The sequence below is a fragment of the Homo sapiens genome, chromosome 20, assembly GCF_000001405.40.
Source record: "Homo sapiens chromosome 20, GRCh38.p14 Primary Assembly".
Taxonomy (NCBI): Eukaryota; Metazoa; Chordata; class Mammalia; order Primates; family Hominidae; genus Homo; species Homo sapiens.
The window spans coordinates 45,356,698-45,381,264 of NC_000020.11; the positions used below are offsets into that span (position 1 = coordinate 45,356,698).

Below are 24,567 nucleotides of genomic sequence, written 5' to 3' on the forward strand. Positions count from 1 at the left end.
GCACTCCAGCCTGGGTGACAGAGCAAGGACCTGTCTCTAAAATAACAACAAAGGCCGGGCACAGTGGCTTACACCTGTAATCCCAACACTTTAGGAGGCTGAGGTGGGCAGATCACCTGAGGTCAGGAGTTCGAAACCAGCCTGACCAACATGGTGAAACCCCGTCTCTACTAAAAATACAAAATTAGCCGGGCATGGTGGCACATGCCTGTAAATCCTAGCTAGTCAGGAGGCTGAGGTAGGAGAATCACTTGAACCCAGGAGGCGGAGGTTGCAGTGAGCCAAGATCACACCGTTACACTCTAGACTGAGCAACAAGAGTGAAACTCCGTCTTAAAAATAAAATAAAATAAAACAACAGTACAACAATGAAAATAATACAAATAAAAATTAAAATATAGTTTCACAACTATTTACATTGTATTAGATGTTTAGAGATGACTTAAAGAATGTGGGAAGATTGCATAGACTATATGCAAATACTATACCATTTTATATAAAGGATTTGAGCTTCTCTGGGTTTTCATATCTGCCAGGAGTCCTGGAACCAACCACCCATGGATGCTGAGGGATGGCTGTACTCAGAGGTCCTTCCACCCACTGTCATGCCTGGCATCATCCACCCTGCATAGATAGAGGGTTTGCAGAAAACCCCTGATCATTAGACACAGAACACAGAAAACCAGTTTCCTGACTCCCTCTGGTGTGAAGGAAAGAACAGGGAGGTTGGGGTGGAAAGTTAGAGTGGAAAGACAGACACCCCAGATGTTTCTTAACTTTTGATTATTCCAGCTGACAAGACATGCCACACCTCAATGTGTACTGAGTGTGAGTCACTTCCTTCTCTAAGCCTCAATTTCCTTACCTGTAACATGTGGACAATGTTTATACCTACATCCCTGGGGCTGTTGCAACAATAAGATGAGGTCAGGTAGATGAAAGCTGTATGTCACTGTAATGTCCAGTGCCTTTTTTTTTTTTTGAGACAGAGTCTCACTCTGTCACCCAGGCTGGAGTGCAGTGGTACAATCTCAGCTCACTGCAACCTCTGCCTCGCAGGTTCAAGCAATTCTCCTGCCTCAGCCTCCCAAGTAGCTGGGATTACAGGCATGCACCACCACTCCTGGCTAATTTTTGTATTTTTTGTACAGACAGGGTTTCTCCATGTTGGCCAGGCTGGCCGCCAACTCCTGATTGCAGGTGGATCCACCCACCTCAGCCTCCCAAAGTGTTGGAATTACAGGCATGAACCACCTTGCCTGGCCTTCAGTGCGCTTTTTGTTACACACTGAGAAGGAATAGTGTGTGGAGTCAAACTGGCCTGGGTTGGAGTTCAGCTCTACCACTCACTGGCAGCATGGCTCTGGGTAAATGTCCCTTCTCTGAGCCTCAGGATCTGCATGTGTTCAGTGGGGCTATTAATAGTTCTCAACTCACAGGCTTGTTTTAGAAATTAAATAAGGATTAAATTATATAAGTGCCTGTCATACAGTAGATGCTCAGCAAATATTCCTCCCCAAACACAGACACAAACAGCACTTAAAGCAACCTGGGTAACAAAGGGGTTTTCGGTCTGGAGGAGAAACCAGGCAGCTAATGAGCTCTCTCTCCAGTTTTCCTTCTAAGAGAGGAACTCACTGGCCAGAGCCCAGGATGGTCACCGATGTAGAGGACAGGCAGCCAACTCCAAGCCTCCCACGTGGGGTTTCCAAAAACCTGTGAGCACAGAGTTGCATAACGTGTCCCTGAGACACGTGTTTCTACTGAAGTGTCTTCATCAAATATTCCCTGAAAGGAAACATGTGAGCAGGGCAGTAGGGCAGCCTAGCGGGGGAGGAAGGGAGAGGGGGAGGAAGGGAGAGAGGGAGGGATCTAGAGAACACGACAGTAGGGGTGAGAGGAGGAAGAGAAGGTATCACATTTAATGTGCTCTTACTATGGGCCAGCCACCGGGCTTGACTTGTCTGATACATTGTTAGATCCTTGCCATAAATCTGAGATCAGGCATTTCCGTTCCCACATTCCAGAGGAAGAAATAATAACAATCATATTAACATTGCTGAGGTTAACATAGTGCCCACTGCATATCAGGCAGTGGACTAAGCACACATTTGACCCTCAGGACAGCCCATAACATGGGTACTATTCTGAACTCCACTTTATAGAAGAGGAAACCAACTGAGACTCAGAGACATGAAGTAACTTTCCCAAGGTCACCCAGCAGGACAGCAAGACAGCCAGAGAGCCAGGATTCGAATCTAAGCAGGGCTCTCAAGCCTATGGGCCTATGGGAGAACATTTCCCAAGGGATTTATGGGGGTGGATCCAGAAGGTGACCTTAGCGATTGTCCTTACATGCATGCAGTGGGGCCCCAGTGTGAAAGTGACGAAAGAGACCAAGTGACCAGAGGCACTCCCCTCCCCTCCACCCAAAGGACAGTTTGTCCCAGCTTGTGGCTTTTCGTCACTCTGCCTCTGACCTGAAGTTTAACATTTCATTCATAAGTTTGGAACCACAGACTTGGCAGCGTAGGAAGAACCCTCGTAGACCAGCTAGCTATTCAAATCCAATCCCCTCATATTACAGATGGAAGAAAACCCTGAAGCCGGAATGTGACTCGCCAAGGTCACAGAGCAGTTTTCTGTTGGATGAAGGAGCCGGTTTAGGGTCAACTACAGATCATCTTGTGCTGTAGTTATCAAATGTGGGTGCACCTCTGAATCACTTGGGGAGCTCTCTAAATACACAGATTTCCACACTCTGCTTTGGGAGACTTGAACTGGACTTAGGTTTGCAAACAAGGACTGGAAATTTGAATATCCAGTATGTTCCTCAGGTGATTCAGATGGCACAGGGCCATGACAGCATCTGCAAGTCGGAGTCCAATGTCCCTCTTTCATTTGATAGTTTGGGATACTGGGACCCACCAGGGGACTCGCCCAAGGTCACATAGCAAGCCAGTGGGGCTCTAGTTCAGACTCTGTGGTCTGAAGCAGACTGCTTGTGGTCAAATTTGAAAATGGGCCAATGAAGCTAAACAAAGGGGTTGCCATGATTTTCCCCAGCTCTTGGTTTCCTTCTTGGATCCAAATTAAGACGGAGGATGATGTACATTTCCGAAGCTTGGCAAGGCGGGAATCCAAGAACTGAACTCCCAAAGGGGAAAGGAAAGGGCAGGAGGTTAGCTTGCACGCCCAGTGGGGTTTTCCCAGAGGTGAGCTCCGGACTCCAGGGATGACATCAGACATTCCAGCCAGCCCTAATATCAAAAGCTACCTGTGTTTTCTAGTTCAGCAGAATGGGTAGGCAGGGCCTTTCCTATTGGGAGGAGATGGGGTGGAGTGGGCCCAGCTGTGACGTGAAGGGAGCAGAGCCCAGGAAGAGCCACGCATTCCAGCATCTGCAAGGAAGACAGCTGCCCTGGGTATTGTCAACCTCTGCAGCCCTTTTCTAAGCCTTTCCTCCCATTTCTCCCTAATCCCTCACCCCAGGGCTAACTGAGCAGAGAGATTCACTGCCCCTTTTCCACTTCCTGCTACTCCACCACCTATTTTACTATCTCCCTTCCTTTATTTCCCTCTCCCTCCCTCCCTTCCTCCCTTCTTTCCTGTTCTTTTATTCTAAAATGGCATCTTGGCTGGACACAGCGGCTTATGCCTGTAATCCTAACACTTTGGGAGGCCAAGGTGGGAGGATTGCTTGAGCCCAGGGTTCAGGACCAGCCTGGACAACATAGGGATACCCTGTCTCTACAAAAAAATAAAATTAAATGAAAAATCAAAAAAGCCAAGTGCGGGCCAGGCATGGTGACTCATGCCTATAATCCCAGCACTTTGGGAGGCTGAGGCGGGCAGATCACTTGAGGTCAGGAGTCCAGACCAGCCTGGCCACAATGGTGAAATCCCATCTCTACTAAAAATACAAAAATTAGCTGGGCATGGTGGCACACACCTGTAATCCCAGCTACTCAGGAGGCTGAGGCATGAGAATCGCTCGAACCCGGGAGGCGGAGGTTGCAGTGAGCCAAGATCATGCCACTGCACCCCAGCCTGAGCGACAGAGCAAGACTCCGTTTCAAAAAAAGCCAGGTGTGGTGGCACATGCCTGTGGTCTCAGCTATTCGGGAGGCCGAGGCTTGGGCCTGGGAGTTTGAGGGTGCAGTGAGCCATGATTGCGCCACTGCAAACCAGCATGGGTGACAGATTGAGACCCTGTTTCAAAGAACCAAACTAAACCAAACCAAAACTAAACTAAAAGTCATCTTGATGTTTGGAGTCAGTTGTCCTGAATTTGAATCTCAGCTCTGCTCCCTGTGAGCTCTCTGACCTAGAGAGTCACACCACCTCCCCCCAAGCCTAGTTTCCTCCCCTATAAAAAGGGGACAATAGCTATATTTTCAGATTGTGAGAATTAAACAAGATCATGTAGGCACTTAAGAAACAGATGTTTTCTCAGAAACACTAGATCATGTGCATAATCAGTGAACTAGAGGAATTTGAATACATATTTGTTGGACTGAATTGAGGTGCCTAAAAGAATGGTTGAGCTGGAAAGCACCTAAGAAATCTTTGGGCCTTAATAACTCCCCAACTGGAGTCCAGGGGAACTGTTCAGGGTATTTCCAAATGATAAGGACAATCGCACACTCTCAATAAAGTCTCAAGTTTCTTTACTTTTGTCTGGAATTGTATCAGCTCAAGGTGATAACACGGCTACCACAAGCTGTTCAGAAATTCTGATTGGCAGTTACATGGCTCTTTGATACGTTTTTTTTTTTTTTTTTTTGAGACGGAGTCTCGCTCTGTCGCCCAGGCTGGACTGCAGTGGCGCAATCTCGGCTCACTGCAAGCTTCGCCTCCCAGGTTCACGCCATTCTCCTGTCTCAGCCTCCCGAGTAGCTGGGACTACATGCGCCTGCCACCAGGCCCGGCTAATTTTCTGTATTTTTAATAGAGATGGGGTTTCACCATGTTAGCCAGGATGGTCTTGAACTCCTGACCTTGTGATCTGCCCGCCTCAGCCTCCCAAAGTGCTGGGATTACAGGCATGAGCCACTGTGCCCAGCCTAAGTTTTTTTTTTAATGAGAAAATAATTACTGGAAGGTAGATTAAATGGTGGAAAACGTTAATCATGTCCAACTCCTCATTTCATAAACAGGGAAGCTGAGGTTTAAAGAAGGAAGTGGCTTGCTGGTCACACTGGGTGGCATAGCTGGCCCTAAAACCCAAATTCTTTTCCTGGAACAACTTACTTCCCGTCTTTCCACTTCAGAGAGGGGGAACCTAGGATCAATGAAGTTGATGGGTTTTCGTCTGCTGGAGTAGGAATAAGTGAGTTATCGATTTGCTCTTGCTTTTTCTGTTCTTAACTCATTCAGCAAATATTTACTGACTGTCCACTATTCGGATTTGGAAGATAGATAAAACAGTCATGGCAGCAGAGAGGGTCAGGATTTACTCCTATGTGCGACTTCAGAACCTGTGCCTTTTTCCACTGGACACCCACATTTTAAAACACCCACTACTCTGCCTTCTAATATAGTTCATCTGTGTCTCAGGGCAGGGGCTGTCTTATATATACATGTTCTAGCCTTCCTGCCACCGAGTAGGTGCGAAATCAATGTTGTAGTGTTGAGGAAACACTTGAATTTTATTTATTTATTTATTTATTTATTTATTTATTTAGAGACGGAGTTTTGCTCTTGTTGCCCAGGCTGGAGTGCAATGGCGTGATCTCGGCTCACTGCAACCTCTGCCTCCCGGGTTCAAGCAATTCTCCTGGCTCAGCCTCCCGAGTAGCTAGGACTACAGGCGTGCGCCACCACGCCCCGCTAATTTTGTATTTTTAGCAGAGACGGGGTTTCTCCATGTTGGTCAGGCTGGTCTCGAAACACCGACCTCAGGTAATCCGCCCACCTCAGCCTCCCAAAGTGCTGGGATTACAGGCGTGAGCCACCGCGCCCGACCAACACTTGAATTTTAATACTTACTTTGCTACTAACTGTGTCGTTGAAACAGTATGTTGCTTTCCTTCTCTGGCCCTTAGCTTAACTATCTGTACAGCGGGAACATTGGCAAACTCCTACGTGGAGGAGCTTGCAGGTCCACTTCAAGTTATCAGACTCTAACTAGGAGAAAACATTGAGAATTTAGGCTGAAAATAACGACACAGTTTATCACCTCGTTAATTCCCAAACATCATTACCGCGTCCTAAGCCACCCCACTTGCCTCTCCCCTAGCCGCCTTCCTTTAAAAAAAGAATTCCCCTCTAGAGGGCGCGCAAGCTCTGCGGCCTTCGTTCCTCTCTTCCGTTTGCCTTCACTCTTCCTTCTGCGCATGTGCTCAGTTCGCTATCCGGCTGCTTGTACCTGGTTCAGGAGGTTCAGGCAGAGGTTGCACCCACTACGCCTGCGCAACCTCAGCCCCGCCCCTCCGCTGCTTTCCCCGGAAACGTTTCTTTCCTACGCAGCCGCTCCTGCCGCCGTGGTCGCTGGAGCTTTGCCTCTCTAGGCCGGCAGCGCCTCTCCTCCATGGTCCTGTCTGTCAGCGCTGTTTTGGGAGCCCGCCGGTGAGGCCGGGCCACGCTCAGACACTTCGATCGTCGAGTCTGTCACTGGTGAGTAGACCCCAGAGGAGCTCGTGTACGGGCGGGGGCCGCGCAGGCGGAATGGGCTGGATTTCCCCTCACTCTGAGAATGGGTCTGTCTGCCCCGCCTTCCCCCTGACTCTTGGAATGGGCTCACCCCTTGGTTCCAGTCCCTCCTCCCGGGCGGGGCGACGTTGCCATGGAGACAGGCCGCTGGCTGAGGCCCGGCTCGTGTCCCTGCAGGGCATGGCGGGTCAGTTCCGCAGCTACGTGTGGGACCCGCTGCTGATCCTGTCGCAGATCGTCCTCATGCAGACCGTGTATTACGGCTCGCTGGGCCTGTGGCTGGCGCTGGTGGACGGGCTAGTGCGAAGCAGCCCCTCGCTGGACCAGATGTTCGACGCCGAGGTAGGGTCCCCGGACTGGGGCGGGTGGGGTCTCGGCCTCCCCGAGTAGGCTTTGTGGTCCATCACTACTGTGCTGTAGACGTGGCTGGGTCACCTTCTTTCTTTGTAGCCCTGGGAAAGGGATTTCACCTTTCTGAGCCTCAGCTGCCTCATCCATAAAATGGAATGACAGCAGAGGCTGATTAGTACAAAGAAAAGGGCCTGGATGTTAATACAATAAACACGTCTGTGTTCCAGGCAACTCTGATACATTTCCTTTCTGATACTCTGGGAAAGTGACTTGATTTCTCTGAGCTAGGTTCTCAGGTGCCACATCGGAGAGAGGGGTGGATAAAAGAGCATTCGTGCGGGTACAGTGGAAACTGCCTGGACTTTGGGGTCAGACAGGCGTCCGTTTAAGATCCACTTACTAGCTGTGTGACCTGGGGCAAATGTCACCTCTGTGAACTTGTTTTCCTGTCTTCAAAACCATGAGACTAGTTGCAGAGAGGTCGTGGACTGCAATATAAAGAGCATGTGCTTTGGGTTCAGAAAAGCAAGGGTTCAGTCTAGGCCTAAACATATAAAACTAGCTGTGGGACCTTGGGCAAGTTGCTTCCCCTTTCTGAGCCTTTTCTGAAAAGTGGGCCGGATGCTCCTACCATGTTGCCCTCAACAAAATGTTACAAGGCCCAGAGGGGTTTAGGAATAAGAAGGTACTTTGTAAAGTGTAAAGGAGGCCTATAAGTTGTTACATCTAAGAGGCAGCTGTGGCGTGGTGATGAGCACAGTTCTTTTTTTTTTTTTTTTTTTTTTTTGAGACGGAGTCTCCCTCTGTCGCCCAGGCTGGAGTGCAGTGGCAGGATCTCGGCTCACTGCAAGCTCCGCCTCCCGGGTTCACGCCATTCTCCTGCCTCAGCCTCCCAAGTAGCTGGGACTACAGGCGCCCGCCACTACGCCCGGCTAATTTTTTGTATTTTTAGTAGAGACGGGGTTTCACCGTTTTAGCCGGGATGGTCTCGATCTCCTGACCTCGTGATCCGCCTGCCTCGGCCTCCCAAAGTGCTGGGATTACAGGCGTGAGCCACCGCGCCCGGCCGAGCACAGTTCTTAAAGCCAGGAGACCTGGGATGGAGTCCTTGCTCCTGCTGCTTGTTCTCTGTGTTAGCCCTTGGGCAAGTTATTATCCAAAAAGTGATAAGAATTAAAAGAAGAAGAATGGCTTTGTGAGGTTTTTTTAGGGATAATATGAGATTATGTATGTCAAAGACCTTTCTTTGTCAGCTGAAAGTGTGGTGCAGATGTTTGGCATTTGATAGTATTGTGTTGGATAGTGGAGGTTGCACACCCACCATATGCCTAGTTGTAGTCTCGTAGGAGACTCTATGCTCCTGGGAAGAGCTGTGGGAATGCCAGGCTTTGTTGAAGAGCCATATGATGCACACAACCTGAGTTCTAGCCTAGGGATCAGCAAACCTTTCCTTTAAGGGTGAAGTAGTAAGGATTTTAGGTCACAATTATTCAGCTCTGCCATTGTAGCACAGAAGGCTGCTATAGACAAATATATAAGTGAATAGGTGTGGCTGTGTTTCAATAAAACCTTATGTACAGGAGCAGATGCCAGGCCTATGGAGCCATAGTCAGCTGAACGCTGTTCTAGACTTTACTCTTGTTGTTTATTACTTTGGGCAACTTAACTTGTCTGAGTTTTTACGTCCTCCTTTGTAAAATGAGAATAATCCCTTTCCACCTGCTGTGAGAAACAAATGAAATCCCATAATGGATGTCTATGAAAGCACCTATTGGAAATAGGCTGCCGTACAGATGTAGGGAGGTATTATCTTCTGTGCTCTGGGAAGAATGCTTGTTCCTTAGGAGGCTTGCTGAGATCCTGGGGCTCTGCCAAGTCACTTCTCCAGTATATTTCCATTTGTGATTCCCCCTCAGATCCTGGGCTTTTCCACCCCTCCAGGCCGGCTCTCCATGATGTCCTTCATCCTCAACGCCCTCACCTGGTGAGTATCACCAGTTTTGCTATCCAGCTTTTGGGCTCTTAGTGCTGGGACTAACTTCCTAAGTTTGAACATGAGACAGGCTGGCACTTGTTTCTGGGGAGTGGTGGAGTAAAGTGGGTGACAGAGGCCAGTTCTGGGACCAGCTGTATAATGGGCCTCCTTCCATTGCTGTTTTGACTTACCTGGAAAGCTCTTATGTCACTATGTTTGTGCTGCCTGCAAGACAACTTCCATCTCAGATAACTTCCCTGATGTGGAGTGAGCTGAGAAAGGATTCGACCGAGAGGCAGGAGAACTGGGTTCTGTTCTTGGTTTGTGTGCCATTGGCCAAGTTACTTGCCATGGGCCTCAGGCTCCTCTTTTGTCCATGAGGGTTTGGACTCAGTGATGTCTAAGGTCACACGTAATCATTGCCTGTCTCTTAAGAGGCAGTTTAGCATAGTGGTCAAGGTGTCAGGCTCTGGAGGCAGACTCATTTGGCATTGAACCTCAGCTTTACTACTAGTCTAGTGACTTTGGACAAGTTAATCTACCACAGTTGCCTCATCAGTAAAATGGGGCTAGTAATATTACCTACCTCATAGTTGTAAGGATTAAATAAGTTAATTCACAAGAAGGACTTAGAACAGTGCCTTGCATGTTATTATTATTCTTGTCCTTACACCGGAGGTTGAAAACTGGTGGGCTGACTTTGACCTAAATTTGTCTTCCAGATAGGTTCTATTTGGCTTACATAGATGTCAGCCCACACATGGTGTTTAAAACATTTTTTTCACTTAGTTGAAAATCAGGCTATTTTATATAAAAATCCAGATTTCTGGCTTCTCTTGAATAATGGAATGACTGACTGATTCCAGGCCAACCTTCTAGCATGATAAGATTTGCCTAGATGCAAGTAGCTACTGCCCCCCTTTAGCTAGAACATGTATGCTTCAGGGTGTCATGATCCCCACCAATTCCTAGGATCCCCTAGTGACAATTGCCATCGATCATCAAGCTCATACTCAGTCAGCTTCACTCTTGACATTACCCGCCAGGTTCTTCTAGGCGTCTGGTATCATAACCCTTGCTTCACACTTATCTCGTCACTTCTGACCACTATGCTGCCGTCCTAATTGTCCCTACCCTCCCAAATAACCTAAGGCCAGGACAACCCAGTGACAACTCACTGCTGTCCTCTCCCCACAGTGCCCTGGGCTTGCTGTACTTCATCCGGCGAGGAAAGCAGTGTCTGGATTTCACTGTCACTGTCCATTTCTTTCACCTCCTGGGCTGCTGGTTCTACAGCTCCCGTTTCCCCTCGGCGCTGACCTGGTGGCTGGTCCAAGCCGTGTGCATTGCACTCATGGCTGTCATCGGGGAGTACCTGTGCATGCGGACGGAGCTCAAGGAGATACCCCTCAACTCAGCCCCTAAATCCAATGTCTAGAATCAGGCCCTTTGGACATCCTGCTGACACTTGGGCCCCTTAACACCTTGGGCTGCTCAGACCCTCCAGATGAGGTCCAGCCCAGATCTGAGAGGAACCCTGGAAATGTGAAGTCTCTGTTGGTTTGGGAGAGATAGTGAGGGCCTGTCAAAGAAGGCAGGTAGCAGTCAGCATGACAGCTGCAAGAATGACCTCTGTCTGTTGAAGCCTTGGTATCTGAGAGGTCAGGAAGGGGACCTCTTTGAGGGTAATAACAGAATTGGAACCATGCCACTCTTGAGCCACAATACCTGTCACCAGCCTGTTGTTTTAAGAGAGAAAAAAAATCAAGGATATCTGATTGGAGCAAACCACTTCTTTAGTCATCTGTCTTACCCCCCTGGGACAGCTGTTACCTTTGCAGTGTTGCCGAATCACAGCAGTTACCTTTGCAGTGTTGCCGAATCACAGCAGTTCTGTTGGAGAAACGCTTGGTTTCCGGATCCAGAGCCACAGAAAGAAATGTAGGTGTGAAGTATTAGGCTGCTGTCAGGGAGAGGATGGCAGATGGAGGCATCAAGCACAAGGAAAATGCACAACCTGTGCCCTGTTATACACACGTTCATGTGCACCCAAGAACCTATGACTTTCTTCCAGTTCCTTCTACCAGGTCCCCATCCTGCTGCCAGCTCTCAACATAGCAGGCCATAGGACCCAGAGAAGAATCCCAGCGTTGCTCAAAGTCTAACCATCATAAAGACACTGCCTGTCTTCTAGGAATGACCAGGCACCCAGCTCCCACTGGACTCCAATTTTTTTTCCTGCCTTATTTAGAATTCTTTGGCGGGAAGGGTATGATGGGTTCCCAGAGACAAGAAGCCCAACCTTCTGGCCTGGGCTGTGCTGATAGTGCTGAGGGAGATAGGAATTTGCTGCTAAGATTTTTCTTTGGGGTGGAGTTTCCTCTGTGAGGGGCTTGCAGCTATCCTTCCTGTGTATACAAATACAGTATTTTCCATGGTTCTGCCTGCACTTACTTTGTAATGCCACGGTTGAGATTGAGAGAGATCAGCGCAGCCAGGCAAGGGAACTTTAAAGAATTATTAGGCCACCTTCTCCCTTTCCTGGACCCCAGAGTCATTCCTCCATTTGGTTAAAATACTCAGTGCAGGGAACTCTTACATCCTGTCTCCTTCACTTGCAGCGTCCCCTGCTATGCCTCAGGTGAACCACATAATTCTTGGGTTTCCGTTCCTACTTGCTAGTGATTTCTGAACATGTTCAATGGAGCGGCACACAGTCTAGACCCACTTCCGCATTGAAACCTTCACTGTTCCTCTTTGGTTTCTTCAGAGCTTTCCCAAGAGAGCTGTCAGTTTTCAGCTGTCAGTAACACAAATGAGTTTATGGTAACACAAATGAGTTTTGCTATCTCTCTGAGAAGCTCATCTGACCTCCTGACTCTCAGCCCTACAGAGTAGGGAGTTGATGCTGACAGGATGAAGATTTAGGAATAAATATGCCTGGGAAGAGACTGGGAAGGTTCTAGGGTGAGGCACCTCAGTAACTCATGGTACCTTGGCCAAGTTGGAAGGAAGCAGTTTGTTAATGAGGCACAGTAATCCTGGCTGCAGGGTCTAGGAGGTAAGACCAGCTGGGATGACCTTCCCTGGGTTAATCAATTTCCCTCTAGACAACACAAACTGCAGGCATGTGACTAACTTTGAAAGAACACCCATCATGTGGCTGCTGTCACCCTTGACCAGCCGTGGTGGTGGTTACTCCATCTGTGGTTGGAGCGCCTCTTTGGGATTCACTTCAAGGTCTTGTGCCTATTTTTCTGCATATCTTCTGTGATGACAAATCTCTGTCCCCTGAGTGTTAATTTGATTTTTAGAAATGGCCAAAAGTCACGTGATCCAAACTTTTTTTCAGTAATATGGAGACTGAGCTGCATGGTAGTTGGGGATCAAAAATATGTGACCTTAATGAGATTTTTATGATTTCTAAAGTAACAATAAAAGCAGTTTTTAGAGTTGAGTTCCAGAGAGGGCAGGGCAATGGCAGTGACATGTTTGTCATTTTAATAATAAATAACATCTATTGAGTGCTTAAGAGGTGTCCAGCAGTGTGGGCTGAGTGCTTTATGTCTCTTTTCAAAATCTTCACAAGAACCCTCTGAAGTAAGAAGTAACGTCATCTGTATCTTACAGATGAGGGAGCTGTAAGGAACTTACCCAAGGTGACTTTTTAGGAGCTGGCAGAGCCAGGATTTGGGCTCTAATAGTGATATTAATAAGCTCATTTTGAAGAGGTCAGTAGTTAGGGATGTATAAGTTCTGACTGGCTAAACAGTCTGGTTAAATAGTTTATCACCTTATAATCATATCTTCTTGTCCTGTCAATTTTTTTAAATACCGAGGATGAATAGTACTTTATAAACATTACTAGCTTTCTAAGAAAAGCTGATATGCAGTACATTAAATATAGCCAGAGATTTCCTTTTTTTTTTTTTTTTTTTTTTTTGAGGCAGGGTCTTACTCTGTCACCCAGGCTGGAGTGCACTGGTGTGATCTTGGCTCATCATAGCCTCAACCTCCCAGGCTCAATGATCCTCCTGCCGCAGCCCCCCAAGTAGCTGGGACTATAGGCACATGCCACCACGCCCAGCTAATTTTTGTATTTTTATTTTTATTTTTATTTTTTTAGAGACAGGGCTTTGCCACTTTGCCCAGGCTGGTCTCGAACTCCTGGGCTCAAGAGATCCACCTGCCTCGGCCTCCCAAAGTGCTGGGATTTTACAGGTGTGAGCCACCAAGCCCAACTGGCCTTTTTTTTTTTTGAAACAGAGTTTCACTCCGACTTCATTACCCAGGCTGGAATGCAGTGGCCCAATCTCAGCTTACTGCAACCTCTGCTTCCTGGGTTCAAGCAATGCTCATACTTCAGCCTCCCAAGTAGCTGGAATTACAGGTTGGCACCATCATGCTTGGCTAATTTTTGTATTTTTCATAGAGACGGGGTTTCATCATGTTGGCCAGGCTGGTCTCGAACTCTTGGCCTCTCAAGTGATCCACCCGCCTCAGCCTCCCAAAGTGCTGGGATTACAGGCATGAGCCACTGTGCCCAGCATTGGCCAGAGATTTTCAGATGATCTTAGGAATGTGGGAAATCTATTTCCAAAGGATAAAGGAAGGTACCTAGATAAGAGAGTACTAGCCCACTACTGAGTTGGCATATCTCTTAACTCTCCAGGTGTCTGAAGTTGACCTCCCTTTTTCCCACCCACCACCTGAACTCTGGCCATTCAGAGAGAAAAGTGGAGACTCCTACATAGCTGATGGTCAGAATAGTTTATAACCCTTAAAGGAGGACAGGAAAGGAAAAAGGGATGTCTGGCTCAGAGGGTACTTCTAACCCCTCGCTCTAGGCAGCCCTGTCCATATCAGTGCCAAATGAGAGCCACGATGGCAGCCAGCAGACATCAGGGGGTACAATGGGAAGCTCCAGGACTCCCAGCATCCTGGAGGGTACACAGCTCAAACAGTCTCCCCTGGACAGGAATCCCCTTGGACTCCTTCCTCAGCAACTCCCAGGTCAGAGTAGCTTCCTTCTGCCAGCCCCAGAAGGCAGTCAGTGCACAGGTATGCAACACCTCCTTGTACCGGCAGCCCAGGGACCACGGAGTCTCAGAGGTAGGGCCCTGGGGACCTAGGGCAGAGGAGTAGGGATGGAATCAAGGTACAAGAGAACTCCTCTGTGGAGAGATTAAAAACCACTGTCTTAAGGTTTTCTGTTGTAAAGTAATAAAGGGTGGTAGAAATAGCATTGAGGCAGGAGGGAGTAGAGGGAGCTGAGGGTTTTAATCCCTGCCCTGCCGCTACCTGGGCAAGTCACAGTCATAGGTCCAATTCTGGAAGGCTTTAGAGAGCTGCAGTGGAGTGCAAAGTCCTGGAGTCCCATTACTAGCTGTGAGATCTTGGGTAAGCTATGTTACCTCCCTTACCTAGATTTCCTCATATGTAAAATGAGGGTAATAATGGTACTTATTTCCCTGGGTTTTGTTTTGTCTTGTTTTGTTTTGTTTTCTGGTAGGTCAACACTTACTTCTTTAAAATGGAAAAAGTGTTCCCTCCCTGGTTTTATTGTGAAGATGCAATAAGATGTCACGTGTAAAGCGCCTAGCCCAGCCCCTGGCACGTAGGAAGTGATCCATAATTCTAGACAATTATTAGGCTACCGTCCCCCCTATCCATTTTACAGAACAGGGACATTTTTCTTCTGAGCCTGTGTTTTCAAATGTTGGGGGATAGGCTTGCCAGTCCTCTAGGTACCACTACCAAGTATTGAGCTCCTATCTGGCATGTACTGCAAAGTGATTTATGTGTATTCTTACTCAGTCCAATAAGGTAAGCACTACTATTTCCCCCATTTTGCAGACAAAGAAACAGAGGATTGGGAGTAAACAACTTTTTCCCCATTACAAAGTTGGTAAGAAGCTAGGCCTGTCTGCCTCATCTGCTTTTCACGTTCCAGTTATGTTTATGTGTGATCCAGACAATTGTGAGACGGACAGTCTTAGGGATCTAAATGCCATATTAGCAAAAGGTTGTGAATGTAAACGTACGTTTGGCTTGTTAACAAGCAGCTAGTTCCATAAAGGTGAGTAGTTAGGTAGCTGCTGATAAGTGAGAAATGGAGCCGGGACTGACTGGCCACAGGGCTTTATTATGATGGCCGTGGTGTGGCGTGGGAAAAGGCCAAACATTTGTTCAATGCCCCACAAACTGGCTTCTCCTACATCAAGCTTGATTTGCTTAAACCCCCCTGAAACAGACATTAGTATCACTATTTTATAAACATGAAATAGGCTCAGAGAGGTCATGTGACTTCTAAAAAGTCACTCAATATAAAATCAGATTCAAACACTTCAATTTTTTCCCAGTTAACTGTTAAGCAGCCATTTCTAGGGTGGCCTCCTCCCCAAATCTGTGTTACTGGGCCCAGAGGAGGAGCTTTAGGTTGAAATGGTTAAACAAAGAGAGGGTGGTAGTGGGGAGACCCTGGTTGTGGAATTGTGGGAGGCAGGTGGCCAGAGGCCTAAGTGCCGGGGCAGGTGGGATGAGGTGGAAGGATGTACTGCTGGGATTCCCTCACTCCCAGACCTGCCCCTTGCTGCCCTGGCCATGCTGGGTCCCCGCCTTCGTATACAGCCCTCCCATATATTCAGTGGCGTTCCCAGTGGGCAACTGGGGCCCAACTCCGGCTCTCTGGAGCAAAGTGGAAGTTGCCAGTCTCACTCAGGCCCAACCCAATCCAGCCTCCACTTGGGGCTCCCTGGGCAGGCCCCCACGAAGGCTAGTGCAAGGGAGCTCCCCAGAAAGGGTCAGATTTTTTAGCTGGGAGGGCGCTGTCTTGACTGCCCGCTGACAGCGCACTCAGGACAGAAGTTCACGCAAAGGTTGATGGAATGGAAGAGTGAGTAGAGATTATTTTCGAAAGTTGATGGGATTGAAAATACCCAGCAAGGGAACTGCAAGGGAGACTGTTCAGGAAATGGGCTGGAGTGCAAGCTGGGTGGGAAGACCGCTGAAAGTGGTTACTGGGGTGGAATTTGCACGGGAATTAGCGGGGTGGTGGGGGCGGAGGTAGGCACCGACCGTAGGGGAGCTCCAGGAAGATTGCGCTGGGAGCAGGAGCTCGGGAGCACGCAGCAGCCACTATGAGGTGCTAAGCAGTCCCCGCGCTGTGGCTCCGCCCAGGCTGGTCCGCGCGGCAGCTGATGCCCAGTCTTGGTGCCCAGTAATGGTGGGGAGGAGTGTGTGAGTGGGCGGGGTGGGAGGGGGGGAGAGTCCATCCAATCGTTCTCCCTCTGTCCCAAACTGGAGATCTATCTGCATCGCTGCCCTGACCCCCAATCCCGGAGAGCTCTGTGCCCCTCGATGGCTCCACTGCTCTCCCGAGGGCGCCCACTCCATGCAGCCTGCCTCTGGGGAATATGGAGGTCTTCGTCCGGAGAAAACTCGGGCTCCCTTGGCTTTCCTCTCCCCAACGGCATGGTTAGGACCCTGTGACTCCTACCGACAGAGGGTGACCCCGGCCAGATGGGGTCGACCAGGGCTTGGGGTTGAGGTCTTCAGATTGAGGGTGGACCTGCCATGTCACCCTGGAGCAGTAGAGATGCAGTACCAGCTCCCCCTCCTGATCCGGTGCCTTCTGTGATCTGTGACCAAGGCAGGACACATTTGGAGGCCCAGCTGACATCCACTTTTTGACACCAGCCACAGTGCAATCAGTTTTTGACAATCAATTTTTGACAATCAGGTCGCAATGCACGCGCATGACCTACAGGGTGCTGGGGCTATTCCGCCTGCCTCGTGACTTCTGAGCAGGCTCTCATTTCGCCTTTTCCCTTTCTTGGGAAAATGGAATGGGGAGCAACCAGGAGCCCTTGCTCCTGCCACTTTCTAGCTGAGTGAGCCTGGGCAAGTTACTTGCTGCCTCCGCGCCGCGGTTTCCTCTTGCGAGCTCGCGGGGCGATTGTGAGGCACTTTGCACCCAGGAAGCACACGAGCGCCCTGACTTCACAGAGCGCGCCACTCAGGAGACTAGCTCGCGGAGGTGGGGGAGGGGTGCTGCTCGCTGGCTTCTTTGGTTCTAGACTGACCTTAGGGGCCTCGGGGTGGGGGTGGGGGAAGCCTGAAGTCGCGACACAGGCTCCCTCTACCGAAGGCCTCTTTCCTTCATCCTTCCCAGCCCCAGACAAACAGGCAGAGTAAGCAGTATTCGTCTTAGGTGCCATATGGAAGATCTTATTTGTAGACTCGTGAATTTCGCCACCCATTCCTCCCCTTCAGCTGATGGCGCGATCTCCACCCTCTGCTCGCACCTCTGGCTCTCGTCCAGGTCACATCAACCTGCCAGCAGAAACCTCGGTGTTAGGCGCTAAGACTGTCCCCAGGGGGCGCTGGTCGTTTGGGGAGCGGGCGCAGGGACAAGGGTGCTGTGGTGTCTGGTAGGTTGGAAATGCCTTTGCTAAAAAGGAAAAGCCTCCCTTTAAGCTAGACCCGGTGGGCACTCACCCCCTTCCTTTCGTGGGACTTTCATTCTCCCACGAAAGGGCTGCGGTATTTTCTTCTTTTTTTGCTAAGGAACTTTCTGCTCAGAGTAAATCTTTTTTTCCTTTCTTTTTTTTTAAGACAGGGTCTTGCTCTCTTGCCCAGGCTGGAGTGCAGTGGCGAAGTCACAGCTCACTGCAGCCTCGACTCCTGGGCTTAAGCGATCCTCCGACCTCAGCCTCCTGAGTAGCTGATACTACAAGCGCAAGGCACCACATCTGGCTAATTTTTAAATTTTTTGTAGAGACAGTGTCTCATTATGTTGCCCAGGATGGTCTTGAACTCCTGGCCTCAAGCAGTCTTCCTGCCTCGACCTCCCAAGGTGCTGGGATTACAGGCGTGAGCCACCATGCCTAGCCTGTTCAGAGTAAATCTTATTTGAGGCATGAATCAATCAAACATAAATAGAGAGTTGAATTGATCTTAGAGGGAATGGGATGCAGCAAAGCCCTACTTGACCATCTCCCCCCTCCCACATTTGGAAATCCTTAAACCCACTTATGTAGGCCTCTGACTGTGAGATTCAGAGCCACAGCAGTTTCCACCTCTGCTAAGGCCTTCAGGCAGTGAGATGGCTCACTTCAGTGCCCCTCCTTCCACACATCTCCTAGCTGTATCCTGAGACGCCTCAACCTAGTCACTACCCTTCTGTATGATGTTGGTCTAAGGCTTCCCCCTCTCTGGACATGAAGGCGGAGCCTCCCAGCACTACCAGCCACACACCACTCAAGACTCCAGATCCTGAACCCTGACTCTGGGGCCCAGCTCTGGGCCTGGCTTGGGGCTTGCATCTCACCTAGCCTGGCAGTGTTGTTGTCACACCCACCTTGTATGGATGCCACATAGGCATTTCAAGTGATGCGGAGCAGAAGCGGGTGCAGCGGCGCTTGACCCAACGCAGGGTGGAGGATCTGCACATCACCCTGGGCGCCGGGAGGTGGATTCGTGTGGGCAGCCCCTCAAACCAGATCCACTGGTCGGCTACATCCAGCTGCTTCATGTGCCCCATGGGAGTTCTATTGCGGTAGGGCTTAATGAAGATGACTCGGGGGCCCTCGGTGAGTGGTTGCCTCCCCTGGACTCCAGGGTTCAAGCTATCATCCCTCGATGTCCTTGGAACCTCAGGCTCTATATGCTTTTCTTTCCGTGGCATTGCCGCCAATGACGTTTTCTCCTTGTTCCTCATCCCTGACTGCACCTGGGACTTCCACTCCTTGTACTCTTTTTTCTTAGGGTCCCCTGTGGACTCTAATTTCTTGGACTTGAGTTCCTTCTCGGAGCACCCGATCTCCTGGAACTCTTCATTATTTTGTTTTGTTTTATTGCAGGCACTGTTTTCCCTGGCAGGGAGAGGAAAGGCAGTCAGCACAGCAGGACCGAGGCCCTGGTTCCCGAGACAGTTGCTATGTAGCCAGCTCAGGGGAGCCTGTTAAGAAAGGCTAGAGGGGCCTGCAAAGAAACTTCTCTACTGCCCAGAGGCCTTGTGCTGGTGTGAGGAGGTGTGATGAGCACTAGCAGAGGGATGTGAGAGATTGGGAAGGTGAAAGCCATGACTAGTAGTTAAGGCCCCTAAGAATGAATATTGTCTACATCATCTGCCACTAGATTAGGGTTCTGTCTCTCTGGACTTCAGCTGGGAGGGTGAACAGTCCAGTAGTTTTTCTAAATTGTGCTCCAAGAACCTTAGGGTTCTGAGGAGGTGTCTCAATGTCACCTCCCCTGACCCACTGGGGCAGGATACCTCTCCCCAGCTCATAACAACACAATTGGGGCTTGGAAATAGATATTTGAACAGAGGTTTCACTGCTTTAATAAAGTTGGAAAACTGTTCAAGACCAGCCTGGGCAACATGGTGAGACTCTGTCTCCATACAAAAAAAAAATTTTTAAGTTGGAAAATGATGGGGCTAGATGATCCTGATCCTTCTAGCTCTATGTTTCCTGATTGCCTGCGACTAGAGGCCAAATCAGAAAGAGGAGCCCAGAAAGGTGGCCTTGACAGAAATATTAAATGCTGAGACTTTCCCAAAGGGTGTCTGTAACAGACTGGGCCCCCTGCAAACCCCCAGTGGCAACACCATCCTAGCCAAGGGCGTGGAGAGAGATGAGGCCTTGGGCTGCAGATAATGGCAATACTGTGATGATAATAATGGCTCCCGCTGATTGAGTCCTCGCTCTATGCCAGACTCGGGACCCTTACAACTTGGGATCCTTACTATTTCTGTGAAGTAGAAGGCAGTGAAACAGAGTGGCTTACAGAGCACAGGTGTTGGATTCAGACAAACGGGCTCAGATTCTGCTTCTGCCTCTTACCACCTGTGTGATTTGGGCAAGATATTTAACCTCTCAGAGCCTTAGCTTCCTTATCTGTAAAACTAGGATAATTCTGTCTACCTAACAGGATTGTTGTGAAGAATAAACTAAATGGGAAAATTCTTAAGTGCTTAACACTGTAGGATGGTACTTAGCAGGCACCAATCAATGTTAGCTTTCTTAATACTGTCATGTGACTTATGAGGAAACGGTTTGAACTTGTCTCGGAGGCATGGTAAAAAAAAATAAAAATAAAAATAAATTAATAAAGAAACCAAGCCTCAGCAAGATTAATCTTCAGATTTCAGGGGTCAGTCTGCAGGTGACTCTCTGGGTTATATTGACTTGCAGGGGAGGAGGAGGAGGAGTAACCTGTCTGTCTCAGTGCCCCAGGGTGAAGTGAGCACCACAACTGGATGATTACAACCATTGTTATGGCCACAGCTCTAATATCAGACAGGAATGGCTTCACATCCTAGCTCTGCCACTTATCAGTTGAGTTAACTGAATGAGACAAGTCACTTCACCTCTTCAGCCTCAGCTCTCCAGCAGTAAAATAGAGTTAATAAATACCTCTCTCACAGAGGCTTTGTGAAAATTAGACTTGTTCTCTAAATGCCTTAGCACAATGCCTGTTCCCAGAAAGACGGCATTTGGGTCCATTATGGGGGCCAGGCCCCAGCTTACCCAGAGGAGATGCGGAGAATCTTTGGAACACTGAGCAGTGAATGCCAACACCTTTTGGCCAGCTTATGCAGTTCTTGGATCCGGCGGTTTGAGCTCTTGAGTAGCTTCAAGAGCGACAAGTTTTTTAACACCTGCCAGGGTCAAGAAACCAGGTAAATAGAAGCTTCAGCTTTCCTGGACAGCCTCCCTCTCCCCTGCCTGCCTCTGGCTCCGCTCAGCCAAGGGCCGGCCTGCTGGCTCCCCTGGGCCACTCAGCCTGGCAACCAGGGGCAGTACTGCATGAGTATATGAGCTTCCCCAAGCTGGGGCCAAAACAGGGCGTCTCACCGTTCTCAGACGGTTCCGCTCAATTACTTTGCTCACAGGCTGCTCTGTCTCGTCCCGCAGTTTCTCATCTTGCATCTGAGGGACAGAGGATAAGAGAGACATAAACCCAGAGGAATCAGCCAGGTGTGGTGCCTCATGTCTGTAATCCCAGCACTTTGGGAGGCCGAGGTGGGTGGCTCATTTGAGGTCAGGAGTTTGAGATGCCTGGCCAACATGGTGAAACCCTGACTCTACCAAAAAAAAAAATACAAAAATTAGCGAGGTGTGGTGGCATGCGCCTGTAGTCCCAGCTACTCAAGAGGGTGAGGCAGGAGAATCACTTGAACCCAGGAGGTGAAGGCTGCAGTCAGCTGAGATCTCGCCACTGCACTCCAGCCTGGGCGACAGAGTGAGGCACTGGAGGAATCCTCCTGAACTCCTCCATGTGCCTCTTCATTTGGCTGAGCATGGTTTGACCAATCCTAGGCTGGGAGTTTTGTCATCTTGGTCTGGGGACAGAACTGGGAGACCATTTTAACTCTCCTGACCTCCCTTCACCCTTCACCTTTTCCTTTTCTCCCATGCTGGAAAGCCCCTTTCCTTGGCATGGTGGATTCTTTGTTAAGGTCCCCTCTAGGGACTCACCCCCAGGGTCTAGTCCCAAGTCTGACCTTGGAAACCCTGCTGTTCTTGGGCCTCTTCTTTGCTGATGGACTCATGCTGGGGCTGTGAGACCTCAGAGATGAATGGAGCAACACCAGTGCCAGGCACCAACCCTGTTCCTCTCAGTTCAGCCAGCACTCAGGCTGGGCATCAGATGGTGGTGCTGGCTCTGTACCACCTGCAGCTGTGACATCACTGAAATGTGACAGTAGCAGGGCTGGGTCTCCAAGGAGTGTATGTGGCAGAGGTGAGGGGTAGAGGGTGAGAAAGAAATATAGACAATAGGCGACAGACAGCTGTGTGCATTGTCACAACCTCCCTGTGGGGTAAGAGGATTATCCCCTCTTTTTAAATGAGGAAGCCAGGGTTCAAAGAGGTTGAATAATCTACTCAAGGCCACACTAGATCTAGCCCAGCTAGATCATAGTGGGCTGGAAACCTAACCAAGGTCTGATAGTCAACCCATGAAACCAGGGATTCCCAAACCATGCTCATCCATTCAGTCATGTCGCCTGTTTTGACTGGGCGCCTGCTACATGCCAGGTGCTTTTTCTTTTCTTTCTCTTTTTTTGTTTTTTGTTTTTTGAGACAGAGTCTCACTCTGTCGCCAGGCTGGAGTGCAGTGGTGAGATCTTGGCTCCCTGCAACCTCCGCCTCCTGGGTTCAAGCGATTTTCCTGCCTCAGCCTCCCAAGTAGCTGAGACTACAGGCACCCGCCACCACGTCCGGCTAATTTTTGTATTTTTAGTAGAGATGGGGTTTCACCATGTTAGCAAGGATGGTCTCGATCTCTTGACTTTGTGATCCGCCCACCTCCACCTCCCACAGTGCTGGGATTACAGGCATGAGTCAGCGCGCCTGGCCTTGCCAGGTGCTTTTTCTAAGTGCTAGAATAACAGAAAATTCTTGCCCTCAAGCTTACATTCTAGTGGAGGGGAAACAGTGTGTGTACTTGTAAATGTTTAATAATTGGCTCTCTGAAGCAAAATGTATATGTGTTTGTATTATAAATTTTACTGATAGAAATCAACAAATAATAGAATCCTATAATACTCTTTATTGTAACTTCTATTAGTGAGTTGCTTCTTATAGTATGCTTTTCTTGGATTTTGCCTAACCCCTCCATTTATAGCCAACCTATGGTTGTAATGGATAAACAAGTATAATACCAACATTAATGTTTGTATTTTCATTTACACTAAACAGTAAGAAGAAGGTGAAAAAGTGAAACAACAGAGATATTGAAATTTAACTCATTTATCAATGATTTCATTGACCTATTTGCTGAATTAGACCATAGTTTTTGAATACTGGAGATATATTTCTCAGATTCTTTTTGTTATTTACAATCGAATAGCTATGGGCAGGACACTTGCTTATGTTTTCTCTTTTTTTGTTGTTTTTGGGGGGTCTTTTTTCAGATCTACATATGATTCATATATGATATATTTCTACTCTACAGATATACAGATATAAAGAATCCTAAGAACATAGATAATAGTAAAAGGTAGTAAAAAATAGAAAGTGACAAGTTTAAGCATTTTTCACCCTATGTTTTTAATATCACTTATTTAATTGGAAGTTGCTATCAATTACATTTTAATGATGGCCGTGCCTAACAACCAGCCTGCAGAATTCCTAGAAGTGTAACAGTAGACTTGTGAGCCCTTATGAGTTAGCCCCAGCACGCCAATGCTACATCAGATGGAAATAAGTGCCTGGAGAACAGCAACCAGGGTAAAGGGAACAGGGAGGGCAGAGGTAGAGGGTTTGGTATATTAAAAAGGTGGTCTAGGAAAGATTCACCAATAAGATGAGATTTGAGCAGACACCTGAGAGAGAGAGGGAAGAGGAGAATGAATGGTGGTGGGAGAAGATGAGGCAGAGAGGGAGTCGTGGTGGGTTAGGCAGATCACAACAGGCTGTAAAGGGCGCTGGCTGCCCTGAATCCCTGGTGCCCAGCTGGCTGCATCAGAATAGTATGAAGAGCTTGTGAAAAACATTTTTGTGGGCACCACCCCATTCAGCAGGCCAGTCAGATAACCAATCAAATGTGGGACCCACTCCACACCATTCCACTTCTAGTGGGGAGAGATGTACATGCACGGGGGGTGGGTGCTTAGCTCTGAACGGAGGGGTGAGGGGCCAACCCTACCTAGGCTGTGGGACAGCTTCTCACATATAAATATCCTTTCTTATTCAAGTGAAGGTTAGGTAGTGGGTTAAACTGCTGCTGTGGCCTAGGAAAGAAAGCAATGTGGTAATTTGGCAAGGAAGACACAGAGGGTGCACCCTCTCTCTCTCCTGTCTACCCCCATACTCCTTGGCTGCTCTGCCTGCTCAGACATACCCCTCCTTGCACACAATTTCAGCTCTGATCAACTGGACTTCACTGAACAATGCTGCTCTGAGGCCCTGGTGCCTGGTGGGCTGTATCAGAATCACCTATACTCACTACTCAACTCCTGAGCTTCCAGGGCTGGGGAATCACTGTGTGCTAGGCACTAAGGGACAGCAACATTATAGGCAGAGCATGCCTCTGAGTTCACAGGCCAAGGGGATAGGTACCCCAGAAGGTAGACTCCTCAAGGGCAGGGATTTGTGTCCGTTTTATTCATTGATAAGCCACCAGATCCTAGAACAGTGCCTGGTGGACAATGGGTGCCCAAAAAGTATTTTTTGAAAAATGAAATAAATAGCATGATACGGGTAATACTGAGGGTTGTAGGAGCACAGAGGTGGAGCCTCCCAACCCAGCCTGAGGATGTCAGGGGATCTTCCTAGAGATGGTGAGGAGGAATGAAGGATGAGTAGATGTTGGCCAAGCATAGCGGTATGGGGCAGGTCGAGGGAGGTGGGCAGAGCATTCTCAAAAGAGGGAACTTAAAGAATATGAGTGTGGAATGGAATTATGTTGTACATTGGATGTTGCTAGATTAGAAAGCAGTAGCCAAGAGTGGCAGGGGTGAAAACTGGAGAAGTGGGTAAAGAGACCTACCCAATGACACACAGCTGGTAAGCCTTGTGGACTAAATCCAAGACTCTTGAATGAAAACCTCCACTCTTTTTTTAAAAAAAAAATAT

At 48.7% G+C, this 24,567-nt stretch overlaps 2 protein-coding genes and 2 long non-coding RNA genes across 7 annotated transcripts in view, besides 5 other annotated features; 2 read left to right on the forward strand and 2 right to left on the reverse strand.

Annotated features, from left to right (window-relative positions):
- Positions 1–5,251: 5,251 nt before the first annotated feature.
- On the forward strand, positions 5,252–20,101 carry SYS1 (SYS1 golgi trafficking protein). Of its 3 annotated transcripts, NM_001197129.2 has the most exons (5): positions 5,252–5,332; positions 6,472–6,618; positions 6,832–6,996; positions 8,922–8,989; positions 10,178–12,512. In NM_001197129.2, exons 3-5 carry the CDS (start codon positions 6,835–6,837, stop codon positions 10,416–10,418), a joined length of 471 nt encoding a protein of 156 aa, NP_001184058.1. In that variant the 5' UTR covers positions 5,252–5,332; positions 6,472–6,618; positions 6,832–6,834; the 3' UTR covers positions 10,419–12,512. The 3 variants fall into 3 exon arrangements, with proteins under 3 accessions (NP_001184058.1, NP_001093261.1, NP_291020.1); NM_001099791.3 differs by lacking the exons at positions 5,252–5,332; positions 10,178–12,512 and adding an exon at positions 17,597–20,101 and having other exon boundaries at positions 6,459–6,618; NM_033542.4 differs by lacking the exon at positions 5,252–5,332 and having other exon boundaries at positions 6,459–6,618.
- On the reverse strand, positions 5,659–6,671 carry LOC124904914 (uncharacterized). Its single transcript, XR_007067609.1, has 2 exons — positions 6,371–6,671; positions 5,659–6,129 (listed from the first exon to the last, which is right to left on the reverse strand). It is a non-coding gene; the product is annotated as an uncharacterized LOC124904914 (long non-coding RNA).
- Positions 6,189–6,628: an enhancer, noted in NCBI's record as "active region_17947". NCBI's record gives its function as "activates an Ori minimal core promoter by ATAC-STARR-seq in GM12878 lymphoblastoid cells {active_cell/tissue: GM12878}" and the evidence as "EXISTENCE:reporter gene assay evidence [ECO:0000049][PMID:35858748]".
- The window catches only part of SYS1-DBNDD2 (SYS1-DBNDD2 readthrough (NMD candidate)), a 47,442-nt gene continuing 29,346 nt past the window's right edge, over positions 6,472–24,567 (forward strand). The window contains exons 1-3 of the long non-coding RNA NR_003189.2: positions 6,472–6,618; positions 6,832–6,996; positions 8,922–8,989. This is a non-coding gene — a long non-coding RNA (SYS1-DBNDD2 readthrough (NMD candidate)). The remainder of the gene's footprint in view (positions 6,619–6,831; positions 6,997–8,921; positions 8,990–24,567) is intronic.
- Positions 11,521–11,570: an enhancer, noted in NCBI's record as "active region_17948". NCBI's record gives its function as "activates an Ori minimal core promoter by ATAC-STARR-seq in GM12878 lymphoblastoid cells {active_cell/tissue: GM12878}" and the evidence as "EXISTENCE:reporter gene assay evidence [ECO:0000049][PMID:35858748]".
- Positions 12,071–12,160: a silencer, noted in NCBI's record as "silent region_12957". NCBI's record gives its function as "represses an Ori minimal core promoter by ATAC-STARR-seq in GM12878 lymphoblastoid cells {active_cell/tissue: GM12878}" and the evidence as "EXISTENCE:reporter gene assay evidence [ECO:0000049][PMID:35858748]".
- Positions 12,231–12,290: an enhancer, noted in NCBI's record as "active region_17949". NCBI's record gives its function as "activates an Ori minimal core promoter by ATAC-STARR-seq in GM12878 lymphoblastoid cells {active_cell/tissue: GM12878}" and the evidence as "EXISTENCE:reporter gene assay evidence [ECO:0000049][PMID:35858748]".
- TP53TG5 (TP53 target 5) lies at positions 15,860–21,628 on the reverse strand. 2 transcript variants are annotated; one of them, NM_014477.3, is made up of 5 exons: positions 21,492–21,628; positions 20,842–20,916; positions 20,515–20,645; positions 18,342–18,855; positions 15,860–17,314 (listed from the first exon to the last, which is right to left on the reverse strand). In NM_014477.3, the coding sequence occupies exons 1-5, from the start codon at positions 21,537–21,539 to the stop codon at positions 17,210–17,212; spliced, it is 873 nt and encodes a 290-aa protein (NP_055292.1). In that variant the 5' UTR covers positions 21,540–21,628; the 3' UTR covers positions 15,860–17,209. The 2 variants fall into 2 exon arrangements, with proteins under 2 accessions (NP_055292.1, XP_011527092.1); XM_011528790.3 differs by having other exon boundaries at positions 21,466–21,628.
- Positions 16,646–16,705: an enhancer, noted in NCBI's record as "active region_17950". NCBI's record gives its function as "activates an Ori minimal core promoter by ATAC-STARR-seq in GM12878 lymphoblastoid cells {active_cell/tissue: GM12878}" and the evidence as "EXISTENCE:reporter gene assay evidence [ECO:0000049][PMID:35858748]".

What these genes read in the sequence shown, in the direction of transcription:
- SYS1 (NM_001197129.2), top strand. Translation starts at nt 6,835, where the DNA reads ATGGCGGGTCAGTTCCGCAGCTACGTGTGGGACCCGCTGCTGATCCTG. An exon ending in ACCAGATGTTCGACGCCGAG is followed by an intron (nt 6,997 to 8,921) that starts GTAGGGTCCCCG and finishes ATTCCCCCTCAG; the next exon opens with ATCCTGGGCTTTTCCACCCC. An exon ending in ATCCTCAACGCCCTCACCTG is followed by an intron (nt 8,990 to 10,177) that starts GTGAGTATCACC and finishes CTCTCCCCACAG; the next exon opens with TGCCCTGGGCTTGCTGTACT.
- TP53TG5 (NM_014477.3), bottom strand. Translation starts at nt 21,539, where the DNA reads ATGAGTCCATCAGCAAAGAAGAGGCCCAAGAACAGCAGGGTTTCCAAG. An exon ending in AGAACAGCAGGGTTTCCAAG is followed by an intron (nt 20,917 to 21,491) that starts GTCAGACTTGGG and finishes TCTGTCCCTCAG; the next exon opens with ATGCAAGATGAGAAACTGCG. An exon ending in ATTCTCCGCATCTCCTCTGG is followed by an intron (nt 18,856 to 20,514) that starts GTAAGCTGGGGC and finishes TCTCCCTGCCAG; the next exon opens with GGAAAACAGTGCCTGCAATA.